This window comes from Homo sapiens, chromosome 5, assembly GCF_000001405.40.
Source record: "Homo sapiens chromosome 5, GRCh38.p14 Primary Assembly".
In the NCBI taxonomy this organism is placed as follows: domain Eukaryota; kingdom Metazoa; phylum Chordata; class Mammalia; order Primates; family Hominidae; genus Homo; species Homo sapiens.
The window spans coordinates 111,666,355-111,680,743 of NC_000005.10; the positions used below are offsets into that span (position 1 = coordinate 111,666,355).

The 14,389-nt window shown below is 40.9% G+C and overlaps 1 long non-coding RNA gene across 1 annotated transcript in view; it reads left to right on the forward strand.

Annotated features, from left to right (window-relative positions):
* The window catches only part of STARD4-AS1 (STARD4 antisense RNA 1), a 227,501-nt gene that overhangs the window by 154,129 nt on the left and 58,983 nt on the right, over window positions 1–14,389 (forward strand). The window contains exon 2 of the long non-coding RNA NR_040093.1: window positions 3,065–3,281. This is a non-coding gene — a long non-coding RNA (STARD4 antisense RNA 1). The remainder of the gene's footprint in view (window positions 1–3,064; window positions 3,282–14,389) is intronic.

Sequence of the window (14,389 nt, forward strand, 5' to 3'; positions counted from 1 at the left end):
AGACATTTAAAGAAGCAAAAACCTTTTATAACCCCTTTAAATTTAGTTAATAAGTTCACACAGAGAACCTCTTCTGCAAGATTAATTTCCACAATTCTTCCGCCACTTCTTCGGCTTTTCCTATCTTACTCAAAACTAAAGTTCAAAGCTGAACCCCTTCCAGCCAGCGGGCTGTGCAGGACCCTTGGGCTATGAGTCCCAGCCTCTGCAGGAAGGGGAGGGGGAGAGAGGACTTCCTGCTCACCTGTCCTTCCCAAAAAAGGAAGGAAAGGGCCTTTCTCCTGACCCCCCCGCCCCCGGGAGCCACCAGGTTTGGGGGCATCTTTCCCTCACCCTCAGAAGTCGGAGGATGAAAATGCTTAGGAGCAACAGAGAGAAGTTTTGAGTCCCCATTTCACTCACGGCTTCTCAAGCCACCACGTTGTGCGTCAAAAATGTTGCAGGACTTTTCCTTAGTTCAGCTAAAGATGGGGGTTCTTGTCCCTCCCACGGCCATGAAAATGAAAATTTAGGCTGGCCCATGGCTTAAAGGGTGAGTAAAGCAGGGTTTCATTGAGTGAAAAAGGAAAAACGGGGGAAACTCCCTCTGCTAGAGCACTTCCAGCCCGGCAATTTGAATCCCAGGTTCCACACAGGAAGAGGAGGGGCCAGGTTCCTCCCTGCTGCAAACACGGTGAACTTCAGAGGCTCCAACTCAGTGGGCAGGCTTGTTGGAGTTTCTCCAGGGACCCCCTCCCACCTGGCTGTCTCACAAGGACAACATGTGGCAAGGAACCCTAACAAAGACCATGATGGAGAAGACACATTTAAGCTGAGAGGTGAAGGGTGAGAGCCCTGAAAATCCGACAAAAGAAGTCCCAGACAGAGGAAACAGTCTGAGTAACTTTCTAGGTGAGAGTGAGCATGACACAATTGAGAAACTGAACAGGGAAAGATTAATGAGCTAGAGTTCCAGGTATATGTGAGCAGCAAGAGCTGAGCTGGTGAGGTAGTAGGCACCAGGTGGTGGAGAACCTCATAAATGATGCAGTGGAATTGACACTGTATCCTTATAGGAATAGAGAGCAATAGAATGATTTCAAGATTGAGAGTGTCATGATGAAATCTGTATTTTAGAAGTTGCTCAACTTACAGTTTGGAGAACGAATTGAAACAGAAATTAAATTGAGGAGACCACTTAAAAGACTGAATAAGTCAAGTTTCAGAATTGCAAACAACCTTAGCTAATTTAAAAAGTTGGGCTAGGGCCAGGTGCAGTGGCTCATGCCTATAATCCCAGGACTTGGGGAGGCTGAGGTGGGAGGATCCTTGAGCCCAGGAGTTCAAGAGAAGCCTGGGCAACATGGTGAAACCCTGTCTCTACAAAAAATACAAAAAATTAGGCAGGCATGGTGGCCCACGCCTGTAGTCCCAGCTACCCAGGAGGCTGAGGTGCGAGGGACACCTGAGCTGGGAGGTCGAGGTTACAGTGAGCCATGATCGCACCACTGCCACTCCAGCCTGGGCAACAGAGTGACATCTTGTCTCAAACAAAGTTTGGCTGGGAAGGTGAGATAATTTAACAGTAGCTGGAGAGGACATTGGGTCAAAGGAGTTTTTTTCGTTGGATTTTTAGTTTGGTTTTAACACAGGAAAGAGCTAGTTCAGAATAAATGTCTGAAGATACATGAAAGAATATAGCAAACCAAAATTGATATAGGCTATTAATTGGAACCCTCAACAAGGTGATTTTTTAAAAAAATTTGGCTAATATTTAATGGGGATGGGAAACTGACTTTTAATATAAAAGAAATGGCATAGCTTATTATTAAAATTCTGATTCAAATAAGGGATCTCTAAGCACTAAACGTTATACAGCGTTTAATTTATTTGGAATTGTCTTATATTTCAGAGATTTTTTTTTACTCAAAACTGGATATTTACTCATTCCAAATCTCTATGGATAAAAGTAACTTAAGCATGTTAGCTACAGGTTTTGTTCAAAATATTTTGAAGTCCTTTTTTCCTAGATTCATGTTGGCAAGAAGTTTTCCAATTTTTCTGTACTTCTTTCTGTTATAATTTTCAAAATCAGGTAATATTTTGGGTGTATTTATTAGATAAGTCACTCTCTCCTGCAAAACAGTATTATTCTTTATGTTACAATGTACTCTACATTACAAGGATGGCAGCTTATGTAGGGGGTAGTTGTAAAGTCAAAGTCCTAAGTGATAATAATGTTTTCTCAAATTAATTCTTGGGTATCCCTTACACTAAATATAAGTGGAGTGTCCATGGTTTGGTATATACACTGCTCTATGGTAATATGCATGTATACATGTGTAAACTAGACAGTGATGTCAAGGATATAATAGCCTGTACATATGCAAAGTATAATTCTAGAGTATTTTTAATTATGGGGTAACGAGGAGAATGAAAGCATTTTTTTAAAAGAAAAACAATAATGCTAAGTAAACCCTATACATTCTGAATATCTTTGTGTGACTCTGAGGATAATAATGGTGATTCACCACAGTGACTGATGCTGACAGTAATGATTACTCCAGTGTCTGTGTGATGAGGAATGAGATAATGAAGATGGGCCTTGTACACACTCCAGGGATTAGTTTTTCTCCTCTCTGACAGCACTATTTTGGGTCATATGAGCAGTGAGGGGACCTGCAGGCAGAATTGCTCATAATATTTAAATTGTTATTTGCTCAGCTCTCACTTTTATTCTTACTCTCTCTTTAGTGGTTCATATATAATTGATTTTATATAATCAAATACACGTTTGATGTTTCTCCACTGTGTTAGGCTTGAGGATTTCACTTGCCTCCAAACAATTGTCAGCTGGCCAACTTCATTGTTGGCAACACTGCGATTCTACTTATACATCCTTGCATCCTGCAACGGGAAAGATCACAAAAACTCATTTGTGATGGACCAGAGTCAGAGGAATATGCTTCTTTGTTTCATTTTGTTTGGTTTAAATTTCTATTCAGTAAGAAACAGGCCAATTTATGCTTTGTTTATATAGGAAAACCTAAATTAACTGTTACTGTTCTTCTCTAATTATTTCAAGGATGCTCTTCACTTCTTACAAATTGGCATGCCAGGCTGCTGCTCAGGTAATCTGCCTCTTGGACCGGCTCTGAAAATGGGACAATGATCAGTGCAAGATCCCTGAGATGCTGAGACACGATGGGATGGAAGAAAGCTATGGGACAAGTGGCCTTTCATAGGAGGAGGAGCTCCTTGTCAAATGTGAGGAGCGAAGCAGGACAGGAGCATGAGAACAGGTAGGTGTAGAGATGTGGAGACTTCCCATTTGCTGAGATAGGTGAGAGATTCAGAAGTTTGACAGGAATTTTGACATGGAAATGGGAAGACAAACTGACCAGGGAAACAAAGATTGCCCGGCTGTTCCATTTGAGAGCCCAGCTGAAGGTGATGACCATGCTTTTATGAGGACAGCAATCTGACCAGCTGTCAATCTTGCTGTAGCAGTCTTAGCAGGCTGGGTTAAGGTAGAGGAGCTCTTCATTTCAGGAAGGACAGTATCAGAAACCTGAGGAGAGAACCAAATTACAAAAGACTAAGGAGTTAAGACATGAACGTAAATGTCTTAGTTTATTCCTGCTGTTATAAATAGTACCTTAAATTGGGTAACTTATAAATAGTAGAAATTCTATTTCTCACTGTTCTGAAGCCTGGGAAGTCTAACAGATTCAGTGTCTGGGGAGGGCTTGCTCTCTGCTTCCAAGATGGCACCTTCTTCTTACTGCATCCTCACATGGCAAAAGGGCCAGTTCATCTTCTGAAGCCTTTTTTTTTTTGAGACCGAGTCTCGCACTGTCACCTGGGCTGGAGTGCAGTGGTGTGATCTCAGCTCACTGCAACCTCTGCCTCCCAGATTCAATCGATTCTCCTGCCTCAGCCTCCTGAGTAGCTGGGATTACAGGCACCTGCCACCATGCCCAGCTAATTTTTTGTATTTTTAGTAGAGAAGGGGTTTCACCATGTTGGCCAGGCTGGTCTCGAACTCCTTACCTCATGATTCGCCTGCCTTGGCCTCCCAAAGTGCTGGGATTATAGGCGTGAGCCACCGTGCCTGGCCCTGAAGCCTCTTTTATGAGGGCATTCATTCCATTCTTGAGTGTTTGGCCCTCACGACTTAATCACTTCCTAAAAAGCCCACCTCTTAATACCACCACAACGGGGATTGAGTTTCAACATGAACTTTGAAGGGACGCAAACATCTAAACCCTAGCAGTAGGTTGATTAAAGAGTCAGGTAGACATTTCTAAGGCAGTGGGGCATATAGGTGTGGAGGCCCGGGAGTGCTGACATGTGGAAATGCAACAGTCATGAAGCTGCAGTCGTTAACGTAACTGACAAAACCTGTACAGCATTAACAGGCTGTTTAATTTTATGCCAAGTCCATAATTTTTGCAGCATGTACCCCTAAGCTTGTTCCAATTGCAAATATTAGTCATAAATTTTATGATCCAAATAGTGATTTCTACTTTTTGAGCACGGGGAAGGCTAAGCATAACAGGTTGACTTGGGGAGGAAGAGTCCCATTTCCTCCTGGGAACTGAAGGGCCTCTAATAGATGGTTCACTGCCCCTCTAGACAGACCTTAAGGGATTAAGTCAGCCCTCAAGTGAGTGTCTAGGAAACACAGCCATAGCTATGTGACTCACCTGGGAAAGCACTAGTTCCAGGCATGCTGGGACAGATGTCCTACCCCAGAGCATACAGTCAGTGTACTTTTAGCCAAGACTCAGGGAAGACACAAAAAAAAGGTCCTCTTCTTTTCTTGGTCACAGAACATAGAGGTGTATAAAAATCTTTACTTTAAATAAGTGGCATGAGACAAGAGGAAACTGGGCACTAGTCCTTGTTCTGATAGTTTCTGTGGAATGTAGAGGAAATTATTTCACCTAGTGGCTGAATGGTGCAAGGGTTTTGTTTCTGGACTCTGAAGCCCCATGCTGTGGGTCCAATCCCACCATCTCCATTGATTATAGTAACTGTATGACCGGGGAGTGTTATTCAAGCTCATGTATCCTGATTTACTTTTGTATACGATAGAAAAAATATTGGTTGTGGGTAGTAAATGAGATAATATTTGCTAAGGTACAGTGCTTGGCACATAGTGAACACTTGGTAAAGTCTGATGCTTGTATGGGCCTGTTTTCTCTAAAATGAAGTTCTTGGACTACTATCCTTTTTTTTAGCTCTGAAGCTCTACGATTCAGTGATGAAAATAATTTTTTATTATTGTTCCATAGTAGGAGTCAGCAAACTTTTTCTGTAAAGATCTATAGTCTCTGGCATTACTACTCAATTCTGATATTGTAGTGTGAAAGCAGCCACAGACAGTACGTGAAAGAATGGGCATAGCTGTGTTGCATCAAAACATTATTTACAAAACTAGGCTGTGGTTGAGAGTTGACCCATGGGAAGTTATGTGCTGACCTTTGTTGTATAGAATTTTAAAAAGTGGAGAAAAGTGAAATGCAATTTGTAATGGAAAAAGGACACAGCAAATCATGTACTGTAAAATTGTATAAGCTTATAACATATTTGTGTAGCCCAAAAACTTTTTTTATATTGAGCATATGAAAGAAAGCAGATGCTCTACAACCAAAGTGGATAATAGAAATACAATAAACGGCATTCATAAGCTTAAATGTTTATAAACCTGGGCATAAATATATAAAATAAGTGAAATGGAAAAGAGTAGCCCAGAAATTCATATTTGCTGCAAGTTGAAAGAAGACAGGAAGGTGGAAATCATGCAAAAAGCATAAGAAACTAAAGTTGTAGCAAAGAGCTAATGTTCCTTCTGACTCCATAATTAAAGAGACATGCATTACACCGGTTCAGTGACTTGCAGAGTGATTGCTCAAACTTCAAATCACCTTTGATCTGATAGGGTCATCTGAATATTACAATGACTGAACTGTGGGCTACTCTCCTTATTAAGTTAGCCCAGTGACTAGCAATCACCCAGCAATCAGGCCTTCATGGCATCTGGTACCTTGACAAACAATATCTGACTTTACAGTAGCTATACTTTCCATGAGCACAACCTGAAATTATGTTGGGAAAAGACAAAGAAGAAAAGTACAATAAGTGAAAAAGAGGCACGAAACAAGAAAGGTAAAATGAAGAAATACTAATGTAGCAATGTAAAATTAGAGTCCAAATGCCTCACTGGGGCATCACTCTGGGAGACCTGGGAAATCACACACATGCTATAGCAAAGACCCTCACCATCCTCAGGTCTGTTGCAGCCCCCCACCGCCCCCAGCTGCTCCACAGATGTCTCTGTGCCACACTACATTTCTCCCCACTGCCAGGGATCCCCTGGGGTTGTTCTCTTAACTAGAGTTTACTCATTCTAGAAAGAGCAAACAGGATATTATTTGAGCAAATAATTTACTCTTTGTCTTTTTCCTTCCTTTTGTTTCAAACATCCTAATACCTGACAGAAAACTCGATATCGACCTTTTTTATCTTGTGCCAAGGCTTAAACCCTTTAAAGAAATGGTGCCAGGTACCCCAGAGAGGAAAGAGAGAAAAGATAATGACTTTCAAGTCCAGCAGAAATAGAAGGCAGGGATTTCCAGAGACCGTGTAAGGAGATGAACGTGAGAGGGTTTCTCTAATATTAGAGATCCACATATTGCTCCGTGGCCAACTCTGACAAAGGGAAGAGACCCCAAGGGTGGTTGCAGAGGGCACCTAAGGCTGGTCCTATAATCCAGTGCCCTCAGGTTGGCTGCTAGGGCTGACAGCCCCAACTGGACTGTAGCAACAGGCCATCTCAGTACGACCACAGCACATGACCAGAAGAACCAACCTGATGTTCTGACAATATATAAGTTTTTTGCACAGTCCTTGGAGGTGGGGAGTCCAATTGAGGACTGAAATTATATTTTCCACCAGCCTTGATGGAGGGGGAGCCAGGGCAGATTTCAACTGATTTAAATCTATGAAGAAACATAGTGATTCTTGAAAAATAGGATCTGTTGGCTGATATTCATATATCAACAAATATTTGGGAATGAGGGCTGGGAAGGAAGAGGAACTTTCCTATTCTAACTGGCACAGTCTCTGAATCTGAACCAGCAGGCTCCCTGTAGATCAGATCAGGTGTGTGGAGGCAGTGTGACCACAGTGGCTGAGAAAGAGCAGAGGGCTGCCCTGTAAATCCTTCAGGGGGTAAAAGAGGGCCCAGGAAAAAACATGGAGAGTGGGTGGAGTAACATAATTGAAAACAGCTTGGAAAAGTGGGCCTAATTTTTTTTGAACTAAAAATGAGTAAAATGTCTTTTCAAGAACTGAATATAAAAATGAAACCAAGAGATAAAGAAAACTCACTATATTTAGTTGTTCACACACACACACACACACACAGAGACAGCGAGAGAGAGAGCGAGAGAGAGTGCTAATACAGTAGCCACGCAATACATTAAGAAAATCTTCTCCTCCTGTACATTTAATAAGTTATCTGGTTGTGTGATGATCCAGTGCTTGGAGATCGGGGGAGCAAGAGGCTTCCTGACCCGCTAATAGACCTTAAGCGCCTGCGGACCCATTCTACTGGAAAGCAAAACTACTGGGGGTCGGGGTAGGCAGTGTGGCCTCTTCTGTCTGCAAACACTGTGACTTCTTGAGGAAAGCACTCGGAGCAGAGGAAGGGAGAAGGACACTGTCCAAGCAGGCCAGGTTAGCTGAGTCAGCTTTGGCAATCTGGACAGCTAGTGTGGTAGGCCATTTTCACACCCACTTTCTGACCTAACTCTCATTTCCAGTGAGATCAGTGGGATCTAGGTAGCAAGTTACTTGCTTAATCCATAGATTTGGTGTAATCTTCATTGTTGTTATAAATTATACCAGTCCCCTTATGTAATGTATCTTATTTAATTATTGTAATCGCACATGATCTTAGGCTCATTGTACATATTCTGAGCAATACGCAATTCCCCAGAGTGACTAGTAGAATAATTCAAACCAGAACCCACGCACTTACTTTCTCTTTATAATGCTGCTTCTAACAACACAGCAATATTTGCTTTCACCTGCATTCCACAGAGGTGGCACCAGTTGTGGGAAGAGATCAATGTCACAAAGCCACTGAAATCTGTTAAGGACCATGCAAGGTCAATGATAATTTATTTTGAAATGTCACATAAAGAAAGAAGGAATCACGTGAAAGAGAAAAAAAGGGCCTTTTAGAAATAATTAAGAAGGGCTAATACTTAGCACCTGGAAAATATGAGTTTATTTTTGTTGTGTTAATATACTCATTATTAAAGCCCAGTTCTGCACTGGGAAGTCCAATAAGTTGAACAGGCTTTGAAAAGACGAATCCAGACAAAACCACTGACTTCGTTTTATAAAATTGTATTGATTACCGTTATAATGAAAGAAAACATACATAAGGTTAGAAGGCAGCAAAGTGAATCTTTTCTATTTGAAGAATTAAGAATCCTTAGTACACAGGGATTATCCATTATCTGCAAATATGTTATTAGATTTCCTCTTTATGCATCCACCCTTTTTTTTTCTTAAAAAACTGTCACAGATGTGGTCTTAAAATCCCTGCAGTGTTCAAAAGAAGCAATACATTTTTCTACTCCTGCAATGTGAGCCAACCATCAACAGATGAACTAAGCCCAATCACTCCATTCCCTTTTTTATGATATTAGCATACTGGTAGATTAGCAAAATGCTGTTAATACTGTCTATCTTTGTTCATTGGTTTAGTCATTTGGTCAAAAAATATTTAATGAGCATCTAATATGTCCCAGGCACTGGAAAAACAGAGATGAATCAAATAGTGGACCCTGCCTACATGAAGCTGAATTTTGTAGTATAGGTGCATGGAATAACAAAGAATTGGGATGATATTTTGAAATATTATGAGAAGTCACCTTGTTTCTCGGAAAATCTTTTTACTTTGTGGTCTTTTCACCATTTAACCAGGCAGAGAAACTTAGGCTGATTGCCTCAGAGAAGAAAAGACACAAAAGAATCCAGCCAGAACAGAGTCAAATTACTGGCTGAGAATATAAAAAGAAAGCCTGGAAAGCTTTAATTTCTAAGCACCTGGCCTTTGGGGGAGAGGGAGTGGAGCTTATCTTTTGTTTTATATATTTTATTTTATTTCATTTATTTTATTTATTTCATTTATTTTCAAATTCTAAAACCTTGGCTCTGCTTCAATAGAGTAAAACCTGGAAGACTGACCAGTTTCTACCAAAAACCAGGGCATGGGGTTGAATGTATAAAATGCTTTCCTGCCTCAGAGGAGAAAGACCCTTTCTGTGTTGAGGGAGGAGCTTTGAGAAAGTTGAGAAAGCAGAGCTAGCGTGTTCAGATGCAAATGTGGGGTCTGCTGAAACCTCTGCATGGAGGCTGAGGAGATGGAAGGGTGCCACCTAGAAACATTTAGGATCTGAGAATAGAAGGTGCCCTGCTTTCCATCTGGAGTAGCCCTGCTGGCCTTCTGTTTGGTCATTGCCTATGCCAAACTACATGTTAAATATTTTTAACATTTTCCTTATACTGGGGAGTTTCAATGGGTTTTCATCAGAGGGTGTAATATGATGTGACTTGTGTTTTGAAAGATCACTGAGTGAAGATGAAGAGGATAGACTGGAGGAGGAATGCCCAGAGACCCACAGAAAACCTTGGAAGCAGTGGTACAGGCTTGAGGGGATGGCAGCCCCAGTTGCGAAGTGTCAGGACTGACTCAAGTTCACTTCTCAGGGAGAGGAAGGAGAGAGACTGTGGGATTGCTCCCAGATTGCTGGCACAGTGGGCTGAATGGTGGTGCCATTAATGGGTAGATAATTCAGGAGAAGGAGGGGGCTTAGGAAGGGAGATAACGAGTTCGGTTTTCATCTAGATGTGCTATGAAATCTTAAAAGTCCTTGAGAAATTGGAGAAATGTGAACTGGTTGATAATAAGGTAAGGAGGATTTGAAGCTAGTGGAACAAATAAACCCACTGTGTTTATTAATGAATCGTGATGCCTCTCAAGGGAGGTCTCTGGTTCTATTGGAGGGCTCTGCCCTTGGCCTAGTTTTTCAAGAACTTGGATGTAGACACAGAAGATATGCTCACCAAATTGCTGTATGATGCAAATATTGAAGAAATAGATATTACAGTAGATGACTGAATTAAAAATTCAGAAGGCTGAAGCAATTGTCTGAAAATAACAGGATGACACTTAGAATAAATATAAAGTCTTACATTTAGGTTTAAAGCAAAATAAATGGCACAGTTACAGGATCTGAAGGTCTGGCTTGGCAGCAATTTCTCCCAACAATTAAATCGGGATTTTTGTTGGCTTAAACTTTATGATGAATCAACAGTGTGATGCAGCCACTTAAAGGCAACTCCCTCTCCAGATGTGATGAAGAAGAGTTTAGAAGACACACTTCCTAGCAAAGTTCCCTCAGTTTTTCAAAACTAAGTGTTTTTTAGAATAAAAATAGTTTAAAGAAGCCACAGATTAAAAACCAAGACTTTTGGTCATTTATTCCAAACACACAAGGCAGGGAATTGCTCTCACTTGGTGGCTTTATGTCCCTGATTGCATCAATTCATCCAGAGACAACTCGTGCCCACTGAATAGACATGTGCTTTCCTGCATTTTCCAGGTCCTTTCAGCTGGGTTGGGACCATGTGACAGAGTTCTGGCAGATAGGAATGAGAGCAGAAGTGACATGGCACTTCTGGTCCTAGGTTCCTAACTGTTGCTGTGTCTCCCGTATCCTTCTTCCTCCTGATCAGAAGAACTTAAAGTCATATGTTGAAGTGCTGGCAGACAAGATGGAGAGAGCCTTCACCCCTGAGTCACTGGATAGTAGAGAGCTCTGCTGACCCACGTGACTTCACATGAGCAAGAAACAAAATTTTGCAGTTATTGAGCACCTGCAGTTTAGGGGTATCTCTATTGTTGCCACTAGCATAACCCCCCAACCCTAAAAGCATTTATCCTTGAACATCACCTGGCAAAGGTGTAGCAATGGCTTAGCCCTTATACTTCTTTACAAGGAACTTCTGAGAAACTCTGCTTGTAGCCCCAGTTTTGAGGTTTTTGGTGGATAAATAATGTACTCGCACACAAAACTGATGGAACTCAATTTTAGTAACATGACGAAGAAAACCACTCTTCTGGTCCACAATTCCTTTATATTAAAAAAAGTACCAATTTATACTAAGGCATTAAAAACACTTATTCATAAAATGTAACACACTTTGTGAATTATCCCAGAGAATGTTCTTATATTGGCTCAGGGTTTTGACGGGCCCTAAGGTCCCTTCCAGTTCATGAAGTAGAGCAGAAATTATAATGTAAGTATAATGGAGGAAATCTTAGAAGTCATCTAATGCTACCAAATACCAGACTTTATAGAGTAGGAAATTGAGCCTGAGAGAATTCGAGATATTTATCCCAGGTTTCTTTGATCTCCTGAATTCCATTTGCAGTGTTCTTCCCAGTACATTGTTTTAAAATTATAGTATTTAAAAGCAAACAATGACAACAACAAAAAAACCCTCTTAACTCTTTTTACCTTGCAAGGAGCTGATTCCTTTCTCCTGAACCTCTTCCATTGTTATGACTCCATGAAAGGGGACAGAGAAGTTTCCTTAGGAACAAAGAGAGGAAAGAAGATGTACAGCAGATGGGAAATCTGTGCAAGCATAGAGCCTACCTTATTCTCATACTACATAACCTTTCCTGGTCTTTCCCCTCTTCTTCTTCAAGCCTTTTTCCTATCACACACATACACATGCTACAAAATCTTTCTGGAACAGATACCTTATCTTCTTTCTCATTCCAGGTTAAACTTAGTCTAGGACAGTGATATTTTTAGTTCAATGAAGTTTTTATAAACTCTAGTTTATCATTTTAACCCCAGAGCATCCTTATCTCAAGGATCTTTCCCTATTCTCCACCCCCTAGTTTTAACCCTTTGCTGCAGAGCTTAGAAAGAAGCTTATTAGAATGATGATCCCTTGGTTAAACCAAGGTCTCCTGCAGCTCATGTCATCATCTGCCAGGCTGTCACTCAGGGTAGCCAGTGGTACCTCCATCATGGACAGATGTCCAGCTTGTGCTCACCGTGTTGGGAAGCCCAGTGGTCAGTGCCATTTTTTCCTTTTTCCCTTGTACCTTCCTGCCCAACTGTTTGTTGCTTCAATTGGCAATCTCATGGAATGGCCAGCAGGCCCCTGTGTTTTTTCCTTCTACAGTCAGGTCTAGGTTCATGAGAATCCTAAGAGTCTCTGCCACCCTTGACTTGATTCCATGGAAAACCAGGAGAGTGATCCTTGCTCTTTGGACATTCACTAACCTTCCTTGACTTTCCCCTAGCCCCTTCTCTGTGCTCCAGGAACCCCATGGTGGGGCCACAGGCTCCTGCAATCCTCCAGGAGGAAGGAGATGCCAGTCTTCCCTTTGTACCATCTACCATGTGCCCTCATTTCACTAGAGAAGTCCTTAAAGACCTCTGCCTTTGGAAAGTCAGGAAATCAGTTGAATTTTACCTCCTCCCACAATAGAGGTGGGAAAGAAAGGGACACTTACTACTTCAATAATAATAAAACCAACTTAGCGCTTGCTGTGTGCCAACTACTTTACAAACACTCTACATGATAACTCATTTAATCCTCATCATGACTCTAATAAGTAGGAATTCTAAAGAAAGTGACTCTTTTGTTTTTATAAATACTGAGGTAGAAGTATGGTGAATACTGCTTCATAGGTTCTACCGAAATACTCAGTATTACAGCCCCAAGAATATTATAGTCCAAGTCCTTTTGCTCTCAGTTTAGAGCTCTCTCCAAAATTACATGATCACTAGTCAGTAATACTGAAGGAATAGGAAAAGGTGTTGTTCTGTGTATCACACTCTTATGCTACAATTACTTTGCTGCTTACAGTAGGAGAGTAATATGAATGTATGCATGTCGGTTTACATCTTTTTATTGTGCTTTTTAACTGTAAGAGTGATAAATGCTATAACAAATTCAAACAAGAAAGAAATGTAACAAATGAAAAATGATTTTTGGTTAGTCATTTGCCTCATCCCGTTACGTTTAACCACTTTAAACAGTTTGAGTGTGTGTGTGTGTGTATGTTTTCTTTGTGTATACTTTCCTCAGTGTAGATACAAGTGTACATATATAGATATTTGTCTTAATTGTTGTAAAAAGGATATGCAATACATGCTTACCTATATGCATATATATGCTATATGTACCTATGTGACACTCCTTTTGGTGCCACTTAGCCAGCCAGAAATCTCGGTGGCCATCAGTGCCTCTGCCCGGACTTCACTCAGGCCCACTGGGCTCACTCGCAGGCTGCTCTCAGCTCACACTACTGGCCCAGATCCTGTGCCCACCATGCTCTGCGCTTAGCCTGTGGCTGGTCCCGGTGTGCAGTGACAGGCTTCCTCCTTGGGCACTGGCGTCTGGACAAGGCGGGATGTGGCAGTGCCCAAAAACTTGGAGATGCCAGCAACCGCAGAGCCCCAAGGGATGTTACAGCTTTTTATTCATTTAACATAGCACCACATCAGTGCATGTAGATACATCTCATTTTTTTTGGTCATTTTGTTCTATTCCTTGGTATGGATGTTACATGAATTATTGATCCATTTTCCTATTGATGGTATTTGCATTGTCTCCCATTTTTTGCACTTATAACAGTGTTACAATATACACATACAGACACACACACACACACACACACTCACACATGTCCCTTTCCCAGTAGACCCAGTACTTTTCTAAAATAAATTCTGTAAGTGGTACTTCTGGGTTGTAGAATGTCTTTATTTTAAATTTGAAAAATTCTGCCAAACGGTCTTTCAAAAATGTCATACGAATTTACACATGACAGAAATTACACATTAACAGAATTTGAAGGGGTTTACCTCCTTATCCGCTTAAAAACACTATATGTCATCAAAATTTTATAAATTTTGCCAATTTAATAAAAAATAACCTTTGTGTATTATGGATTATGTAATTGTCAGTTTGAGCATTTTTCAAATATTTATTGACCAATTGTAATTTTCTCTCTAAAATGCCTCTTCTTATTTGTTCATTTTAGTCTCCCTCCTTCTGATTTTGGTCTTTTGATGTTGTTTTATTGGAATATTTTAGCTATAATGGATGTTAACTCTTTGTCTTTTATCTGTGTTGCAAATATTTTCCCACAGTCCTCATTTGGCTTTTAAATTTGTTCTTGTGAACTGGTTTTTGCCAAAAAGAAGTTTTGACTTTTTAATCATTCCAAACTGTCAACCTTTCCTTCATGGACTCTGGGCCTCCTGTTAGACTTAGAAGGTTCTCCCCACTCCAAGAC